A 22308-nucleotide genomic window follows, 5' to 3' on the forward strand; every position below is an offset into this window, starting at 1 on the left:
TCCACAATCCTACAAGGTTCTGGAGTCTCTGTATTTTTCACCCAATGTCTGAGAAATGACTTGCTGTATTTGCAAATTGAATAAAATGATGAAATCTGAGTGCAAATGTTTTAAATATAATTTTAAAACTTAAAGTATAATTTTAAAAAATTTAAAAACTTAAAGTATAATTTAAAAAAAAAGAAAAAATGGGAAATGTCTTTAAAACAGAGAGATCACATTCTTCCATAAGCAAGAACCCATTCATAGATCTGGAATTAGCCAGAAAGAAAGGAGTTCTGCAATGCTAAGCCAAAGGAATCGAGACAACTTGACTCTCAGGAATGTTTCTGAAGCCGGCATCCTCTTCAGAGTATGAAGAGGCCTCAGGGGTGTGCAAGAGTCTCGTCTGTCAGACAAAATGTCACGGAGAACCACTTCTCATTTTGAATCAAGTCATCTAAAAAGTAAAACAAAACAAAACAATTGTATCATAATGGCAATGAGGACGTCAAAACACTCACCGCTATCAGTGCCTGGTCAGTGAGGTCTAGACCCATGTTGCTGAGGGAGATTCCAAAACACAGGGTTTAAAGTAGGCAGTTTTTATTCAAAAGGAAGAAACACCATCAGAACTCATGAGAGGAATTCTCCAAATGCTTACTTTAGAAATCAATTTCCCATCAGTTTTTCAAAAACACTTTTCCTGGTACATGAACATTTGCATACAGATTTCGTCATTTTATTCAATTTGCAAATACAGCAAGTCATTTCTCAGACACTGGGTGAAAAATACAAAGACTCCAGAGCCTTGTAGGATTGTGGAAATGTGAGAGCTGTTTTTTAGGTAACATACATTAACTTTAGAAATGCCAACTGGGTGGAGCCCGTAGCTGTTTTTGAGCTTCTTTATAATAGCACCATTGTACATTTGTCTACTCAAAGTTTAATGAGTTTTAATATTATCCCTTCAAGCAAGGGAGCATCTTATATCCACAGAAACATCCTTATGAATCTAAGCATAGGAGACTCATTTACTTTCCCCTGCTAGATAAAATCTTGGTTTAAAGGTTGCAGTGAAAAGTTGCATTGCATAGGGAGTTAAACTTTGAGTTCTCATTTTTTCAATATAGCTTAGTTGTTTTCAGGTATGCATTAATATTTCCACCTGATGCCAGATGGGTTGGCAGTTTTGGCAGGTAGAACTAAGCATAAACAAGGATTGAGAATTAGGTCCAGGATTCCATTAAGAGCACGTGTCATCATACAAGTCAAAGAGTAAGAATCACTGGGGTGTTATTGCTGGAAAGGTTTTTTATAAATCTGCTGAATTTTTCCATTTGACAGGAGAGGAAACAAATGATAACAACTATAGTGACCATCAATGGAGCATTTTGCTTTAATGTATTTTCTCATTGAATTCTCAGTGCTACCTTGTGAGGGATATACTATCATTATCCCATTTAGAGATGAGGAGACTGAGGCTGGAACATATCAAGAACTTTCTCTGAATGTCTACTCAAATGTCACCTTATCTGGGAGGTATTCCCTTTGTGAAATAGCAGCACGACCTTGGCACTCCCTCTTCCTCTCATATGGCTTTGTTTTTCTTCTTGCCACTTGTTTCTATTTGACACACATGTATTCACTTTTATATTGTTATCTCACCCTTCTAGCACGTAAGCTTCATGGGGAAACTGATTTTGCTTTACCCACTGCTATTTTCCCAGCACAGAGAGTACCTGGCATATAGTTGGTGCTCAGTAAATATTTGCTGAATAAAGAAATTATTAAAGAAACTTGCCCAAGGCCAGCTTTTAATTGGTGGACCCAGTATTTGCAGCTGGACTGTTGCCCTGAAGCCACACATTTTGGTTACTTGAGGTCACTTAGCGTCTTAGTCCATTTGGGTTGCTATACAAGATACCATGGACTGGGTGGTTTATAAACAACAGACATTTATTTCTTACAGTTCTGGAAGCTGGAAAGTCCATGATCAAGGCACTGGCAGATTAGGCGACTAATGAGGGCCTCCTTTCTGGTTCATAGATGGTGCCTTCTTGCTTCTTGATGATAGAAGGGATGAGGAGTCTTTCTGGGGCCTCTGTTGTAAGCACTAGTCCCATTCATAAGGGCTCTACCCTCATGGCCTATGTACCTCCAAAGGCTCCACTTACTAATACTAGCACTTTGGGGGCTAGGACTTCAACATATACATTTGAGGGAGACACAAAAACTTCAGTCCATTGCGCTTAGACTATTCATTTTCTCTTTCTTAAGGAACTGGCTTATTTCACATTAAGATATTTTGCAGGAATTCCAGGCTATCCTTAATTTTCTCCGGTTATTTCCCTTGCTGTGACTACATTATGAGGATACTTATTGAAAGACACAGAAAGGATGCCTGGGGTGGGAGTCGTAGTTCTAAACCCAGCTAACTGGGTAACTAAGAGCAAGCTGTTGCATTGTTCTACATCTCAGCTTCTTTATTAGCAACATGCCAGCTCTGTTCTAAGTTCTTACAGCAGATATTTCTAATATGCCAAAAAGTCCCCAGTGATTCCAAAGAAGGGCAGAAGCCTCCAAATCAATTTTAATTGAATTAAAAATTTAAATTAACTATTTATATTATATCCCACATTCTACTCCATCCGCCCACCAAAAACAGACAAACAAACAAAAGAACTCTTAATAGAAAAATCTGCATGAAAATACACAAAAATATTAATAGAGGTGGTCTTTGGAATCAGGGATGATTTTTTTTCTTTTTACTCTTTTGTAGTTACCATAGTACTTTTGCAATGGAAAAAAATACACTTTATTTAAAAAAGAAAAAAAACCTAAGAACAAAATAAAGGTATACTCCATACAACTTTTAGGGCAAATAGAGTTTTGTCAAGAAAGTAACAATTCATTTGTTCCATAATTTGTTAAGTTCCATTATGTGATAGGCATTATTCCTCCAAAAAAGACAATAATCTTTATTTTATAAAGTTTAAAAACAGTGGGAGTCCTGAATAAAAAGTTTTGTTAGATTTTAAGTCACTTTAAGAATGGATTAGATTTAATGATAACATACAAAGAAGAGATACATAGCCACCTGCTCTGACACTTTAACGTGTACCTTGTCCATAGACATCATGTAACTGCTGGGTTTCATTCCAGTTCAGGGGAGTGTATTCATGTAAGAATTAACTTAACATTATTAACATGGTAAGCCATGGGTCTTGATCACATGGTAGACAATTTTCTAGTAATACAGGGTGGCAATTCTCAGTTTAGAATTCTTCTCCTTTCCTTTTTCCTATTATATTGGTCCCCCTGGTTCTCTTACTCTCCTGGACCCTGGAGTCTCTGCCACTCATTGCTGTTTTCTTGATCAACTCATGCTCTCAGTCTCATCAGCAGCCAACTCCAATGTGCCCATTTTCTCAGATTTATCCAAAGCAGAACAACATGCCTAATGAGAGAAGGGGTAAGAGGAAAGCAGCCAGGCTCCTCTGTAGCCCTAATTTATAGACTCATTAATAGTCTTGGGTGTCACCTAGACTTCCAAAAACAATAGGGTGGTAATTAGCTTGGCTTGGCCAGCCAGCCAGCCAGCCCACGATAAAAGGCAAGGAATGGCAATAAATGGAAAGGCAAAAAAAAAAAAAAAAAAAAAACCACCAAATAGGTTTACAAGCAACATACCTTTAAACATTGTATTATCATTTAAAATGAGAAGGTTTAGACTTTTAATTACATAATTAATAGCCTAAGAAGCTACTTGTCCGGACAGAAGGCATACCAACTTCAAGCACCAGAGGATGGTGCCTAGGAGCAAGTTGAGCACAGGAAGATGCAAATTATAAATTCTTTTACAGACAGCAACAACATCTGAAATCCTCTGAGCTTCCTCATGAATCTGCTTCCAGAGAGTAGTGAGTGTTCTGTTATCCCTGAAGGAACAACCATGACCAGCAGCCCAAAAGCCTCCTAGGACAATTTCACCTTCTGTGAAAAGGAAGGCTCTTTATTTCTGGACTGGGTGCTTATTACAGAAACACCCTGGTTACATTTTCAGTATATGCCAAACACAAATGTCACTTTGGTATAGCATCATTTTTATATTTCAGTCTGGGTTTTCAGATTTTTTCTTAATGGTCTTCTTGCAATGTGATGATGTGGAACTGAAGAAGCCTTGGGTGTTCAAAACCAGAAGTGAGAAAGTTGGGGTCTTCTCGCCACCACTGTCTGGTTTATCTCCAAATCTGTTTCCTCATCAGCAAAAACTGGTGATACCATTGTTATTGAGAATAGCAGTCATGATGACATTGTCCCCATGGTTACATTTGAGCAGATGCTGCCACTGTATTATTTTGGGTGGGGGTAGGAGAAGTGATCTGAGACCTTAATGCCAAGCCAAAGGAAAAGGAGAGAAAACAAGACAGGAAGGAGCCAAGGTGGGCGCATAAGAAGGCAGCCCCTAAGAGGAGAGGCCAGCAGTCCAAACCACAGTGTGGCCTAACCTCAACACAGTCCAGTGTATATGGTGGTCTGAGTTGCTGAGTGCACAGAACATCTGGGGACCCCCAAACAGATGAGGTTCAGCATGCTAATTCTAGGAGGTCTTGGGTCTAAGCAGGATCCTAACCTAAAAAAAAAAAGTCTCTAGGAAGAATTAAGGAGCACGGGTAGACTCCAGGTAAGCAGGAGTCTCAGGTATGCTTTAAACCTAGTTCTAAGAGGATAATAAATAATAAGGAAAGAGGAGAAAGACCACTGCTCATGCAGCCATGCTCAGGGCCACAGCTACATCAGGTGCATGGAGAGCCAAGTCTAAGGCAGGAAGAAGAAACAGAGTTGCTACTATCTCCAAGCCTTGACCAAGATCGGTTCAGGCACCCGATCTATTGGTGGAAATCTCCTCAATATTTTAGTAGAGCTGGAGACACTGAGAGAAATCAGGGACTGGCTTGAGATGTGTTGATTGGGGAAGGATCTCAGCATGCTGGCGTTCAGTAACTGAAAGGCCCAGGGGGAAAGAAAATGTATTGAAATAACCATGAGAGTTATTAAACCTTGGCATTCTATCCTAGCCCAAGGACCAGTGGAAAACTGCTTTTAAACACTTTTGTGTTTTCTGAAAGTGAGCACTTGTGTGAAAAACAATACTCAATCCCTCGGTATGTCTTTGCTGTCAATAGGTAGAGAACATAACTTCTCGGGGGCCAGGCCTGGATATTGTGTCTTTAGATATAAAGGATATTAGGGGCCCGGTTCTATGTGAAGGTGCCCTCCAAAACCAGAAGAGCATACTGAAGACCAGAAATTGTAGCAAGTGGTCATCTTGACACTTTCCAGTGAAGCCAGTGGTTGCATCTGCTTCTGGCCAGAACTTTCCTAACCAGCTCCTGGATAAATGCTTAATTAACATTACTCCAAGTCCATCTGAGTCTGTGGCTAAATGGTTCCTGGTGTTTTGTTTTACACTGTGAGGGGAATTCAGTGCCTTGGAAACTAGTTGGCTAACCCAGACCATAGGTCAGTGGTTTTCAACTCACTCTGCACATAGAATCATCTGGAAACTCTTTATAAAAATACCAGTGCCTCAGCAAAAGAAACTACCATCAAAGAGAAGAGGCAACCTACAGAATGGGAGAAAATTTTTGCAATCTATCCATCTGACAAAGGGCTAATATCCAGAATCTACACATAACTCAAACAAATTTACAAGAAAAAAACAACCCCATCAAAAAGTGGGCAAAGGATATGAACAGACACTTCTCAAAAGAAGACATCTATGCAGCCAACAGACACGTGAAAAAATGCTCATCATCACTGGTCATCAGAGAAATGCAAATCAAAACCACAATGATTTTGTGATTCCATCTCACGCCAGTTAGAATGGCAATCATTAAAAAGTCAGGAAACAACGGATGTTGGAGAGGATGTGGAGAAATAGGAAGGCTTTTACACGGTTGGTGGGAGTATAAACTAGTTCAACCATTGTGGAAGACAATGTGGTGATTCCTCAAGGACCTAGAACTAGAATTACCATTTGACCCAGCAATCCCATTACTGGGTATATACCCAAAGGATTACAAATCATGCTACTATAAAGACACATGCATGCATATGTTTATTGTGGCATTATTCACAATAGCAAAGACTTGAAACCAACCCAAATGTCCATCAATGATAGACTGGATTAAGGAAATGTGGCACATATACACCATGGAATACTATGCTGCCATAAAAAAGGATGAGTTCATGTTCTTTGCAGGGACATGGATGAAACTGGAAACCATCATTCTCAGCAAACTATCACAAGGACAGAAAACCAAACACCGCATGTTCTCACTCATAAGTGGGAATTGAACAATGAGATCACTTTGACACAGTGGGTGGAACATCACACACCAGGGCCTGTTGGGCGGTGGGGGGCTGGGGGAGGGATAGCATTAGGAGAAATACCTAATGTAAATGATGAGTTGATGGGGGCAGCAAACCAACATGGCACATGTATACCTATGTATCAAACCTGCACGTTGTGCACATGTACCCTAGAACTTAAAGTATAAAAAAAAAAAAAAAACACCAGTGCCAGGGCTCCACCCTTACAGATTCTGGCTTAACTTGTCTGGAGTAGGGAGTATGTCAGGGAATGTTTTTAATGCTCTGCAGGTGATTCTTCCATCCAGCTAGGTTGAAAGCAGTGCCTCTCAAACTCTAACATGCATATGAATCCCTCCGAATCTTGCATAACATGCAGATCCTGATCTAGTAGGTCTGGGTGGAGATTTTGTGTTTTAAACTAGCTCCAGATGATACCCAAGCTGTTTGTCTGCAGGCCGTATGTCGTATGTCGAGGTATTAGAGAATGGGAAAAGTGTCAGAGCTCTCAGCAGGTGAGCCCTCCCTCACCAGGGCAGACCCCACCCACCGCAGAGCTGTGGCTCTGCCTTAGCCTTCTGTCAAGTTGAGCAGACACTTCCAGAGCTCAAAGATGGCCTTCCGAGTTAGCTATGGAAATAAGCAACAGTCCAAATAGTCCAGTAAGGCCTCAAATAAATCAGGGTGACACCAATGGGAATACAAGAGTGAGTGAATAAGAGTCAAGCAATGAAGTTTTTTTTTTTTTTAAATCAGCCTTTGTTTTGCTTTGGCTCTGTGTGTTTGTGGGGAAACTCCAGTGAGTAGAGGCTTAGCCCTGTCTTCTAGAGTAAACAAGGGCAGTGGGTGAGGAAGAGGGAGGCTGGGGAAGGAGGGCTCCGTACATGCAGAGTGGTGCAGAACACACCCCACGCTCTAAATAAAAACCTTTTCAGACCTAAGCCTTGGCCACTTCGCGATTGGACTATGAGGGCCTCCTGCAGTGACTGCCACTCTTGTTTTGTCTTCTTCAGATACTGCTTTCCTCATCTCCCTGCCCTGATCAGAGATATCCTGCAAAATGAACTCTACACTCTGTGTGGCCATCAGATCTGTGGATCTGCGTGATCCCTCAGCCTTACCTCCCAGGACCTTCTTTTTTCTCCTCCGAAGCACAGGGGTCAGCTCCTCACCAGGGCTTTCAGCCCAGCTTCCCCCTGCCTGGAATAGTCTCTCTTTCACATATCCAATTACTGAAATTCTCCCACCCTTCCAGGCCCAGCTCCAGTCCGGTCTTGTCCTTCAAGCCATTCCTGGTCCACCTGCCGCCACTCTTCCTGGGCACTTCTAGAGCATTTCCTCGTTGTCTATGGCTTTAACATGCCATGTTTCTCCCAACTTAGCACCTTTTCATGAGAATATGGTGTCTCTCCCTAATCCCATCATAAACTTCTGGTGGTAGAACTGTACCTTATACTTCCTTGTATCTCCTCTACCTAGTGTAGTTCTTTGCAAATAATAGATGCTCAGTAAGATTTGTCACATATTTATCAAAGAGCTCACCACAACTAATGAACCTGAGATTCCCATAGGAAAGAGAGGTCCTTAGGAGTTTGCACTTACAGACATGACTTCCCACCAAAAAGTCCCCACCCCCTCAATGCCTTAGGTCCCTCTCTACTCTGGGTGGGTTTTGCCCTTATGTGGCACCCGGAAGTCCCTGCTCTGGATTCCCTCAAAGCCCTGTGTTTTTGCCTCCAACAGCCCTCATGCCTAGACCATCCCTTGTGCTGAACGTGCACCTAATTCAACACCCTAGTCTTCAGACCCGTGCAATTTTCACTCCCTGTAAGGAAGTCAAAGGTCCTTCCAGAATCAGTCTGGTCTTCAGTCTGTTCCTCTGAAGAGAAAAACAATAGGGTGTGGTCAGGAGAAAAATAGAGTCCCAGCCAAACAAATGTCTCCTGGAAAAACCACTCATGCAGCTAGAACAAACAGGTATGGTCACTCCACTAGCTCTGGGCAGAACTCTGCACTGATTCAAGGCTGTTGATAGAGACATTGGAATGCTATCCAATGCCGTCTATCCAGGGACCACCATCAAACATCTCTATAGGGGAAAAACTTGTCCAAAAATAAATAAAAACGATGGAAACTTTGAATGTGATCATTAGAGTGCACCCATGGGAACTTTGAATGTGATCATTAGAGTGCACCCATGGGAATACTTTGAAAGCAGAACCTTCCTGAAGGGACCTCAGGAATGTCTTAGTGTACTGGCAGCTCCTGACAAACGGCAAAAGAGAAATGAGATGCCTTTGCCACACATTTCTGTTTCTCCCCCTGGGCTCCATGCACAAAGGCCCTGCTCCTTTCTGCCCCAGGACACGGCCAAAAATGCTGCCCTTGCTCACACATGACTTGTCTTAGCCAGGTTCTGTATTGGCTTTAGTCACTGAAGGCTGCTCTGATTCCTCCCCCACTCCCTCAAGGTCCTCATTTATTTATTAAGCTAGATTTCTCCCAGGTCCCATTCCTCTGGCATTACATGGAGGGAAGAGTGTTAAATTCAGTCAAGGTTGAGGAGGGAGGAAAAGACTTTGCAATTAAATTGCTAATTAAGGAAGTACCAACCTGAAGAAGCTAATTTGCACTGACCTATTTAAAATATCTAGCAGCAGATCATGCATGAATTGAGGTACAGCCCTTTTATGCGTCAGCCAACTGGCTTTCTTTCAGAGCAGCAGCTATCAATAATTCCATGCTGAGGACCATCTGATAGGAAATCAACCACTGGCCCCTGGAATGCCAGCATTCCCCACTGCTCTGTTTTCCCAGTTGTCAGCTCTGTTTATAAATTGTCCATTTATAGCAAATCCAGCACCTGCTATGAACACCTCATCCTGCCAAGTGTTGGAGTGCATCTCAGAAAGAGCCACTATAGACTTTTTCAGTTCCTTTTAACCTTTTCCCAACCCGGGAGTTTGAATATTTGCATAGGAATTCTGAAGGAGGACTTTTTCAGTGCAGAAAAGTCTAGATCGTCTATTAAAAGTTAGCATTTTGCTCCACTTTAAAAAGAAAGAGCAAATTATCATTCTCTTGGGAGATACAATGCTCTCTTTCTGAACAAGTCTGACATTGGGACACATTTAAAACAACCTCTGAAAAATTCAGCAGGGTCAAAATGCTCTGGAGAAGACTTAGGGGGGCTTTCTTTTGCACTCGATTATGCAGCTTTTTAGCTCACTGTCAACACTGAACAGATAATGCAGCCTGCTGCTTAAAACCGTTATGTAAAATATATTAAAAGATACCTTCCAGTGTTGGAAACCCAATATATGACCTAGTTTGAGTTTCTTCTTGCCAATCATCCATTTGCAAAGTGCCTAGATTAATCCTCAAAGTTCCTCTCCCAATATGCTTCTGTTCATTTTGTTCGTTGCAAAATAAAAATAAAATAAAATATGGCACACATGGAATATTCATGGAGTATGGGCTCATGGTTTGTAGAGGATTGTGAAGGTCAAACCAGATGCTATGGCAGACAGAAATTGGCTGAGTGGTCTTGGGAAGATGGGACAAGCCTTGATGCTTCAGTTTATACATTCCCACAGTAATCCTTCTCAAGAATAAGATTGTCACCCTTTTAAAGCCACAGAGGGAGACCCTGATTAAGACCACGTGGCAAAGGCAGCTGAGCTGGGTGGGCAGCATTCCTGATCCCTGGTTCTGCAGTCAGCCAAGTAGGCGGCCCCATATTTTTTATGAGAGGACTCAAGGGTTTAGTATTTCTTTAAAAAAAAAAAAATTAAGGTACCTGGATGAAAAAGAATCTGTGAAAGGTTATTGTTACTAATGGTCCAGTAAAGTCAGGCCATGAGATCAGAAAAAACAGAAGTGATTTAAAACATAGAATTAGAGGGCACGAAATGAAACACCCTACAAACGCTTCGCTTTGGGCAGTGTGTTTTCCTCTGCTAGGGCCTGGGTCCTTAGCATTCCAGTCTGGGGTGGCTTGTAGCTTTGTGGTGCAGTTTGTATAGATTAAGCTAATTTTGGAGGACACAGGCATCAATTATTTCTTTCCAAAATAGAATTGTGCTTAATCAATTACATGTCACTCCAATGCAAATCTTCCTTGCTTACTTTTTGGTCATTCGATGGCCATCTGTTTTACCAACCTGGATTCTTTCACTCATCACACAAGTCAGGCCCCATTACTTGAGATGATCTCTGAGATGCCCCTGCTGGAGAAAGGCATGTGCAAATTAAGAGACTACAAATCAGTTTGAAAACTCAACGACTCCTTCCCATAAATCTGTGTCCTTAATATTAAAAATCATTTGGAGGTGCTGAAAAGAAAGAGAACTGATAGCTACAGAAAACAACAGCCCTACTCACTTCAGGGCACAGATTAGTAGTCAAGAGGGGTTATGCAGATCTAAATCCATATTCTGCTACCAAAAATAGAAAAGAGGAAATCTTTGAAGCCAAAGAAGGCCTAAGAATAACTGTCAGCAAAGAGCTAGAGCCACATGGACAGGAAGCAACGCTCAAGTGGCAGTTCTGTGCTGCCTTTTTCTTCCTCCCCAGTAGCTTTTCACATTCATTCTGTTTAAAAGATAGCTTTCAAAGGCTTCCTTCAACTTGAACACGTACGCCTGCACAGCCGGCCTTTCCACAGCAGCCTGGGGGCCGGCATTGAGCATCGCTTCCACACAGTCCTTGGGTTTAGTGTTATTTCCCCCCACGGATCATTTCAATCTGTTTAAAGCTGAACAGTGAACTCTTCATAGACCACATTGCACAGAGAACCCTCAATAGGAAATGATCAGCTGAGCAAACATTCATTTCTTGTTTTGCTTTTAATAATTTTGTTTCAACCCAACCTAGTCTTCATCCTTTTTTCAATACTCAGGAAACTGCAACAAACCAATAAAGTTTATTTTATCTCATGTGCCTTAAATGACACTATAAAAACATGCATTTGGATATGTCCTATAAAAGATATTCAAGTTAGGAGAGGTTCTTTGGAAACACAAGGGTGAGAGACCTTTGGAATGGCCCATGGGGTGGCTAGAGAGGGGCAGAGGGCAAGAAGGGTTACAGGAAGGGGACCAGTTGATGGGTGGTGATGAGGCGATTTGAAGTCCAAATAATGGAAAAGTGGAGGTGAAGGATAAAGGAATAAGAAAGACATTGAGGAAGACAGGGCAGGGCCTCTTCCAGCCCATACAGCACCTTCGTACAAGTTAGAAAAAGGCACCACTTCCTCTGAGCACACACAAACCCATGCAAGAGTGCATGGCTAGATGTCAGCCTGTGCTCTTCCCTTCAGCCAGGTAATCTTCCAGAAGGCACAGCTTGCATGATACCATACATGGGGGCCCAGGAAAAAATGTGGGTAAGAGATTGAAAGGCCAAAATGGGGAACTTTAGAAGTACTGGAAGGAAAAAAAAAAAGTCATGGATGCTTCTGGTAGCATACAGGAAATCCTGTTTGAATCATAGAGCTTTGCTGGTGGGTGAGGGGCGGGGAAGAATGGTTGGCAAAATTGGTTTCTCCAAAGTAGCTATCCCGCTGAGCAGTTTATCTTTGTCATATTTCGTAGGATGAATGTAATGTTCATTTCAAAGGAACTTTGTGTTAATCATATCAATATCTAATGAATAACTTCCAGGATTAATACAATTTATGTTTATTTGTCAGGATGAAGATCTGTGCTTAGATACAAACTGCTCTGACTCATAAGCTGAGCGTAGCTCTTAACTAAGACACAAGAACATCTGAGCTTCATATGATGAACAGTTGGGGATTCTTAACTGCTTTTATCTCAAAATTCTTGAATGTTTTACTGAAACAAACTTAAGCCAAAAGAAAAAAGATAATAAATAACCCCCATCATTGAGACAGGTTGTTCTTCCAAGGTCATAGCTTCCGTTGTACTATAAACCCTTACCAATCTATTCAGGTTAGGGCCATGATTTATATCACAGTTGGCAAAATTGATATGCAAACAATACATATATATTAAATTTGTGGCATGCAAATATTAAAACTATTTGGGGTCAAAACTTCCCCTGGCAAAACTAAAGGTGATGAAATATTAATTGCGTGTTAAGCACCTTTTATTGCATATTAAATTGGAAGTTCTCTGGTAATGGCTGAATAGAAAACCCCACTGAGTACTCTGTCTGAAGTTTATTGGGGTTTTTTGTTTGTTTAGTTTTGTTTTAACTAAATGTCCCTGCACCGGCTCTGCCAGTGGCTGTCATTATTAACCACGCTCTTGCTCAGGGTGTGGGCCTTCATTCCATCACTGTTTACGTGACAATTTACAGATTTTACAGTTCCTCAACAACTGTGATATGGACCGTTTCATTAAATTCTCAGAACAGCCCTTTGAAGTAACTATGGTTTTGTCATCATCCTATGGTAGATGAGGAAATTGAGAATTTAGACAAGCTCAGAGACTCGTCTGAGACTATCCAAGCAGTGAGTGATAGAATGAGAACTTCATCCCAGGCCTTCTGGCTCAAATCAGTGATCTTGCTAATATAACAGCCCTCTGGTTTAAACTAAGACGTCTACTCAGAGCCTTTTGCATCAAAGACAGGTTTGTCTACTTCTGGGATGACAAGTATTCAACCTGACTGGTGGGAGGGTGAGCAATGACCTATTCTGACAACCTCAATGACTTAGATTTTGAATATCTAGTTTACCACTCTAAAGATTTTGTTCTATAAAACTATACTCTCTGTTGCAATTGACCCAGAGCATAACAGTCATCTTAAAAATTTGATCAAGTCCATGGAATTATAAAAGCCAATACCAATATTATCAAAAATCATATTTTATTTAAATTATAGATTCGGGGGTTCCATGTACAGGTTTGTTACATAGGTGTATTGCATAGTTCTGGGGTTGGGTTCTGGTGAACCCAAGTAGTAAACCTAGTACCAAATAGGTAGTTTTTCCAGCCCTTCTCCCCTTCCTCCCTCTCCCCTTTTGGAGTCCCCAGTGTCTATTGTTTACCTCTTTATGTCCATGTGCACCCATTGTTTAGCTCCCACTTATTAGTGAGAACACATAGTACTTGGTTTTCTATTTCTGCATTAATTCACTTAGGATAATGTCCTCCAGTTGTACCTATGTTGCTGCAAAGGACATGATTTCATTCTTTTTATGGCTGCATAGTATTCCATGGTGTATATATACCACATTTTTTTCTCTTTTTTTTCTTTTTGAGAGCGAGTCTTGCTCTGTCACCCAGGCTGGAGTGCAGTGGCACGATCTCGGCTACTGCAACCTCAGCCTCCTGGGTTCAAGCAATTTTCCTGCCTCAGCCTCCTGAGTAGCTGGGATTATAGGTGCCCACCACCATGCCTGGCTAATTTTTGTATTTTAGAAGAGACGGGGTTTTACCATGTTGGGCAGGCTGGTCTCAAACTCCTGACCTCAGTGATCTGTCTGCCTCAGCCTCCTGAAGTACTGGGATTACAGGCATGAGCCACCACGCTTGGTCTATGTACCACATTTTTTAAATCCAATCCACCACTGGTGAACACTTACATTGATTCCAAGCCTTTGATATTTTGAATAGTGCTTTGATAAACATAACAGTGCAGGTGTCTTTTTGATGAAATGATTTCTTTTCCTTTGGCTAGGTACCTAGTAATGGGATTGCTGAGTTGAATTACTATTCAGTTCTATTTTCAGTTCTTTCAGAAATCTCCATACTATTTTCCATAGGAGTGGAGCTAATTTACATTCTCATCAACAGTGTATAAGTGTTCCCTAAAAATTATGTTTTAAATAGAACAGGTTTTTTGTGGTTTTATTTTGGTTGTCTTTGGCTGATTTAGGAATGTTAGAAAGTGTGATGTTCATTTTAACGTGAAAACACTTAAGTTTAAAGCAGATCTTGCAGACTACTTACGGTCTAGGCCAGTTCTAAAGGTGCGTCTATAGTTGATCAGTTCTTATTTGTTTGAGCACCAGCATCTAGGTGAAAGGACAGCCTAGTGTGTTGGCTCCCCTTCTAGATCAATAACTTGGGTGTTAGAGGCTAAGAATAAGGTCCTTCTTCATGCAGTGCTCTGCCACATATGTTTTTGGAGAAATAAGACATTAACTGATTTCAGTTAATAACAGCCTCTGGGATATCTGCTTCTCTAACAACCTATCTCTCTCAATCCTAATTCAGATTCCCAATTAAAAATGAAAAACTATTTTTAAAAATTAAAAATACCTTTCTATTTGTCATTGCAGGTGCCTGGAACCAATTTGGCTCCAGAATGTAATAGTTTCACTGACAAAACAATTTGAGAATGTTTTAAGGCTAAAGCTGGCAATGATCCATTAGAAGGCCTGTTTCCTAGAAATTCAGCCATGTGATCAAATGACGACACTAGACAGTCAAACTCATTCATCATCACAATATTTTTTTACAATAAAAACAGTAGCCCTTAGAATTTATCTAGTGGAAATGAGACATATAGTGTAACCAAGTAACTAGTGATAGTTCCAATAATAAGCTCTTTGCTGCTTATACACCTCAGTCATGTTTAGGTTACACTGTTAAACATTATCATTTTCCAATCTGCTCTATGACACCAGCAATTCCACTTCTAGTTTTCTACCCTAGAAAAATGTGTGTGTGAGAGAGAGACATGCACAAAAATGTTTGTGGCCATGCTGTTTATTTTTTAAACCTTAGAAACAATTAACTTCTTAAGTAGACAACCTAACTGCCCCTCATTTTAGAAATGGATTTAAATACTGTGAATCAACGTGAAGCAGCGTATTAAAAAAAAACAACACCCCTCAGAAGTGGAGAATATTTGTAAATCATATATCTGATAAAGGATTACTATCCAGAATATATAAAGAACTACTACAGCTCAACAGCAATAAACAAACAAACAAACAAACAAACAAACAAACCAAAATAACTCCATAATTTAGAACAGGGCAAACGACTTGAATACATATCCTCCAAAGAAGATATACATATCAGCAAGAAGCACAGAAAAAGATGCTCAACATCACTGATAATTCAGGAAATACAAATCAGATACCATTTCACACCCGCTAGGTTCTGAGAGAGAAAGAACAAGATAGAGAGAGAGAAGAAAACAAATGTTGGTGACAATGTAGAAAAATTAGAGACCTTGTGAATTGCTGGTAGGAATGTAAAATGGTGCCCCACTATGGAAGACAGTATGATGGTTCCTCAAAAAGTTACGCATATAATTGCTGTATGATTGTGCAATTCCATTTCTAGGTTTATACCCAAAAATTGAAATCAAGGACTCGAACAGATATTTGTACACCAGCATTCATAACAACATTATTGACGACAGCCAAAGTGTGAAGACAACACAAATGCCTATCAATGGATGAATGGATAAACAAAATGTGGTATATGCATGCATGCTTTAGAATTTTATTCAGTCTTTAAAAGGAAGGAAATATTTTGATGCATGCCATATTATAGATAAACCTTGAAAGCATTATGCTAAGTGAAATAACTGAGACACAAAAGAACAAATATTGTATGATTCCACTTATATGGGGTACCTAGAACAGCCAAATTTATCAAGAAAGTAAAATAGTGTTTACCAAGGGTTGCTGCAAGGAGGATGAAAAGCAATTGTCTAACAGCTACAGAGTTTCAGTCTGGGATGATTTAAAAAATTGTGGAAATAAATAGTGGTGGCCAGGCATGGTGGCTCATGCCTGTAATCCTAGAACTTTGGGAGGCCGAGGTGGGTGGATCATTTGAGGTCAGGAGTTCGAGACCAGCCTAGCCAACATGGTGAAATCCCATCTCTACTAAAAATATAAAAATTAGCCGGGCATGGTGGCAGGCGCCTGGAATTCCAGCTACTAGGGAGGCTGAGACAGGAGAATCCCTTGAATTCAGGAGGCAGAGGTTGCAATAAGCCAAGATCCAACCATTGCACTCCAGCCTGGGTGACAGAGTGAGACTCCATTTCAAAAAAAAAAAAAAAAAAATAGTGATGATGTTGTACAACAATCTCAATGTACTTGATAGTACTGTTGTATACTCAAAGAGACTTAAAATGGTAATTTTTGTTATGTATGTTTTTGCAATAAAAATATTTTTTTCAATCAGGGAAGGGAAAGATAATCAAATACGGTAAAATGTTAAAATTAAAATGTCTTTAAATTCAGTAGTAGGTTTACTGATGGTTTATTAGTTCTATACTTTTCTATGTATTTGACGCGTCTCCGCACACTCTTTATTAATTGTTAGAAGTTTTGAAGAAAAGTTTTTCTTAAAATCATCAGACCTTCTCTGTCAGGTAAGAACATGGGATAAGGTACCGAAGGCTGAAGGTTGTCTCTTTAATGAAAAGATTCATTTCTTGAGGCCTAAAACAGCGCTTCTCACATCTTGTTAAAATGAAATTTCGTTGGTCTGGGGAGGGGCCTGAGGTTCTCTGACACCTAGGTGATGCAGATGCTACTGGCTCATAGATGCATTGTGAGTATCGAGGAGCTAAAGATCCACATATATCATTTTTCATCTGAAATTTCTTCTCAGTTATGTACCACTGGATGATAAAGGGCTGAAACCAGCCTTGATTACCCTTCAATGAAAAATCTATCATTTTATAACTTGTTTGATAAAGACTACAAGGCAAAATTACAAACAATTAAACCCTAATCATTGTTAAAAATATTTCATAATGACTGCATCTCTTTTAAAAATCCTAATGGAAACTTTGGATTCAGCTGTCAGAATCCATAATAAACGCAGTTTGGGACATACTAATTCCACTCCCCCAAATGAATTTTGAAATAGGAATTGCCATAGCACAAATTTCCACTGATGAAAAGTTAACTTTACTTAATTAGTGATACGGTCCTTGAACAAGATCTCCCCTCCCCTCCCTTCCCCTCCCCCCTTCTTCTTCTTCTCCTTCTTCTTCTTCATCTTCAACTTCTTCTTTTCTTCTTTTTCTTTCTCTCTCTCTCTCTCTCCTCACTCTCCTTAATTCTAGAATAATCCAAGGTCGGGAGCTAATAATTTCACCTACTAAAATGTGACTGATTAATTGCTTAAAATTGAAAAAGCTCCTGGGAGAAGATTTCTTGTCAGAATTGTTTAGAATCTGTTCTGTCTGATGGGCTCCCAAAGTGCCAATCTAGTTCTCTGAATTGAAGTTTTCAGGATGCTAATGTTCATATAATTGGCCTAAACATGACTCAACTAATTGCCAAAAAAGGAGAAATCTTTTGTATCCCCCAGTTAACTACCAGACCACCAGACCTCTCTTCAGAATTGAATGGTAGGGTTCTCCAAATGACTATAGTTGATTAAGAGTAAGCGGATTTCTGCCACAGTTATTCCACTGCTGAACTTGTTTTACTCCAACATCCACCAAAGTTTTAAACAGCATAAGGCTATTTGTAACATTCATTAATCTTTCATCAGCTTGTGATTTCAGAGGCACGAATTGCCTTTAATCCAAACTGAAAATTTTATATGAAAAAAAGCTCAACATCACTGGTCATTAGACACATGCAAATCAAAACTACAATGAGATACCATCTCATGCCAGTTCAAATGGTGATCATTAAAAAGTCAGGAACAACAGAATGCTGGAAAGGATGTAGAGAAATAGGAACGCTTTTACACTGTTTGTGGGAGTGTAAATTAGTTCAACTATTGTGGAAGACAGTGTGGCGATTCCTCAAGGATCTAGAACCAGAAATACCATTTGACCCAACAATCCCATTACTGGATATATACCCAAAGGATTATAAATCATGCTACTATAAAGACGTATGCCCACGTATGTTTATTGCAGCACTGTTCACAACAGCAAAGACTTGGAGCCAACCCAAATGCCCATCAACGATAGACTCGATAAAGAAAATGTGACACTTATACACCACAGAATACTATGCAGCTGTAAAAAAGGATGAGTTCATGTCCTTTGCAGGGACATGGATGAAGCTGGAAACCATCATTCTCAGCAAACTAACACAGAAACAGAAAACCAAACACCGCATGTTCTCACTCATAAGTGGGAGTTGAACGATGAGAACACATGGACACAGGGAGGGGAACATCACACACCGGGGTCTGTCCATGGGTAGGGGCCTAGGGGACAGATAGCATTAGGAGAAATATCTAATGTAGATGATGGGTTGGTGGGTCCAGCAAACCACCATGGCACATGTATACCTATGTAAGTAACAAACTTGCACGTCTGCACATGTATCCCAGAACTTAAAGTATAATAATAATCATAATAATAAAAAGAATACTTTGACATATGTCCCAGGTTAATGGTTCTTTAGAATCTGTACCCTGTTTTTCCAAACAGAATCATAGTTATAATAATACATATAGCTAAACCTATGGTGCCCTAACTCTGTGCCAAGCCCTGTTCTACACATTTTAAATGGATTATCTCATAGAATCCTTACAACAGCCCTGTGAGATAAGTGGTATTATCATCTCCAACTCACAGTAAAAAAAAAAAAATGAAGACTCAGAAAATTAAACACATCCAAAGCCACGAAGTGGCAGTTTCTGACTCTAGAGCCCTGTTCTTTGCCATGATACTCAATTGCTAATTTTAATTATAATTGCTAATTCCAGTCATAAATGGGGTCAAACAGGGCTGTTCTTAACTGCTTGATAGAGCTACAGTAAATGAGGAAGCATGTCCCTTTCTTAGCAAGCATCCTCCTCTATAATATGTCTTTATTCACTCTCACTAGGAGTAGTCATTAGAAACATATGAGCCAGCTAGCTAATTACTGTCAAGAAAAAAAAACTTCATATTTGGCAGAGAATCTGCAATATTCAAGTGGAAGAACACTAATGCTTCTATTGAATCCTTCAGTTCATTTTAGCTACTTAGGGGAGTTTATATCAGGAGGACTACAATCTAGGGGTATGCTGAGGTTTCTTTTTGAAGAATAGCTCAGTGGAATGCAGGCTTGATTATAAAAAGCTGGGGCTTGAATAATATCAGCACATTTTTTATTTCTAAGGCAGTTGAATTCCCTTCCAAATTACTTACATCCCTCAATGAAAATTAGGCTCTTCCTAGGCCTGATACTTCATTAATGAGTAAAAAGGCTCTATGTATGTACAAAATATTAACAGCCCAAAAGGAGCTATTTTCACATGGACTCAAGACTCATCTATCCATTTGCTGTGGCAATGCTGGGAGAGCTCATACTGTGGGTGGGTCAAAGGAGGAAAAGGCTGAAAGATATTGACCATATTGAGTCAGGAAACAGAAAGCCCAATGTATTTCAATCCCATTTGCCGTCTTAAATTACAACTTTTACTGACAATGTCTCTATTTCAAAAAGACATTTCTCAATAAAATGTAATTCAGACATAATTTGCTTGCCAAAGGCCAAATTGCTATCTTGTACCTCCGCATTTGCATAGCAAATTTCCATCAGGACCTGAAGGCACTAAACATATATTTAACTTGAGAAAGATGACCAGAGGCTTCCTAAAGGTACAGAAAAGTGAGCTTTTTTGATACTATAGCAAAACTCAATAGATAGTAGTTTCCTTAAGATTAGCTGCAATGTGTAATTTAAAATTGTATTGATGAACTTTTTATAGTCCCATTAAAATCCATCAGTCTTATGCACTTCTAACGAATCTTTTACCCGTGTTGTCCATGTAATGCTATACACTGTCATTTGGAAAGTGTTTAGTTCGCTAGTTATGAAAATCTTCCAAATGTTGATACATTAATTTAACAATAACAAAAGGTTACATTTGTTGATATATAAAAATAATGCTACCATATAAAATTCATATTTGTTAATATAACATTAATCTCAGAAAAATCTTTAAATATTGGGAAGGTGTCAAACTCATGGTGATGGATGCGAGGTTTTTAAAATTCTAATTTTTGCTTGAAATCTTAGATTTTAACACTGATAAAAACACTGTGAGTTGTTTTTCCCAAAGTGACATTGTTCACTTCCTTTGTTCATTTTGGAGAAAATGTCTGCCAATACCCAAATTTGAACATCTATGGTTTGTCAGTTATTCCTTCAAATAAAAGTGCTGTTCCAAAAATAAAGTTCTAACTCAAACAATTTGCTTACATTCTTTTTTTAAGACAATATACTTTGATTGACAGCAGAAGTGCTTCATGAAGCGGACTTCCCATATCATTGCACAGAATATTTAAAAATTGCACTAACTGTGTGGTGGTGAAAAATACAATGATAACTAGTACAGTTTGGCGCCCCGCCTTGATTTGCATGAAAGCATTAGCAGCCGTACCCATCATTGCTTTTGTACCAGTAGTGGAAATGACTATACAGTTAAAAAGGTGAGTTGAGTCTTTTATTAGAAACGTGGTTTTTCATGCTGTAGACTCCTGGAAGTGGTCTCAGAGATTCAGAGATGCCCGGGGGTTAGTGGGTCACACTTTGAGAACCATTGGAACAGATTATAGTTCACATAAAACTGATCGAATCTAAAATGAGTTCTTTTTGAGACAGTAGCTCTGTAATTCTGTAGTATGTGGTAGCTGAGCAGATGGCCTACAAGGAGGAAGACTCTTGACTAAGGATCAAATGTTATGTGTTGAAATGCCATTTTCACTTGAAAAATTGTATTGTTCCTCCTGTATGTCATCACATGGTAGATGATACTAACCATCAGTGTGAGGAGAGGGGAGCTGCAGCAGGAGCTCAGGCAGATATAATTGGAAGGACCCAGGAAGTTTCCATGACAGACCTGACTTAGTTGATTCGGAGCCAGTGCCCAATCCCTACACCTGGCAGGCATTAGAAATGCCAGGAGCCACTGGGAGGAAAGAAGGGCCTGATATCTGGCATTTTAGGTGGCCTGAGGCAAGAGGGAGCTTGAGCAGAGGTTGTTGGCATCTGTGAGTTGGGTATTTCCAATGAGGACATTGTTATGCCAGAGGCCACTGAAGGCCCCTCCCTGTCTCTGTGGCTTAGTTGGCAGGACTTCTTTGTCAGCATCTTTCTCTTTCCCCCAGATCCCTTTCAGCACATACCTCCATGCCCCAGTCCCATACTGACCATGAGGTTACAAGAGAGGCACTAATTAGCAGCTCGTCCCTTTCCATCCCAAAATTGGACTCCCAGATCTCCAATAAACATCTCATAATTTGGCTCCAAGAATTCATGTTCAGAGTACAACCTTACAATTTTTATTTTTGGTGTGAATCACTTATTTTATATTTTTAACAACTCCTATTATTGAGAAGTGGCATCTCTCTTTCCATTGATTCTGATGAGATCTTTGTTGCTATTTTGGTAACAAGAAGCAACAGCTGGAGTAGGGGTCATCCAAAGTCTTTTGTGTTGTGTATAGAAAATACTTAAGGGACTCTGTGAAAAAGTTCTTCTGCATACCCTACATGATTTTATCTGTAATGTAATATTATTAACATTTGTAAGTAATTCCACTTTATAGATGAAGAAATTGAGGCACCCAAGGTTTAGGTGACGGCTTAAATCAGTGGACGAATGTAAAAGTTGAATACTCTCTGCCCAATGTGTTTTTTCCTAGGCCAGCGATTCTGGGGAATTTGAGGACCCAGGCTCATATCCTACCTTCCTATCTACCACCACCTCCCACTACAGCCCCCAAAAATAAAAATTAGTCTAATTTTTTCAGTCTTATTGCTGATAACATCTGGGATGTTAGTTAAGGAGTGATCGTGACAGTGAATGATGAATAAATTATCAGTCAGCAACTAGAAAGAAAATAAGTGAAAGTTTACCAGGAAAGCTTTTCCATGGTGCCTTTTAGTTACAGGAATATATTCTAAATATGCACTGTGTTCTTCTTATAAATATTGAGTATTAGTTGACTCATCCTATCCTACACAGCGGTCTGTAGATACCACCTTTAATAAATGCTTGGAAGAAGAGCTTTTAATTTCTTTCAATTTGATTGTTGAATC

General features: G+C 39.8%; 1 annotated feature.

Moving 5' to 3' along the window:
* Nucleotides 11126-11175: an enhancer, noted in NCBI's record as "active region_22571". NCBI's record gives its function as "activates an Ori minimal core promoter by ATAC-STARR-seq in GM12878 lymphoblastoid cells {active_cell/tissue: GM12878}" and the evidence as "EXISTENCE:reporter gene assay evidence [ECO:0000049][PMID:35858748]".

The sequence above is a fragment of the Homo sapiens genome, chromosome 5 (genome assembly GCF_000001405.40).
Source record: "Homo sapiens chromosome 5, GRCh38.p14 Primary Assembly".
In the NCBI taxonomy this organism is placed as follows: domain Eukaryota; kingdom Metazoa; phylum Chordata; class Mammalia; order Primates; family Hominidae; genus Homo; species Homo sapiens.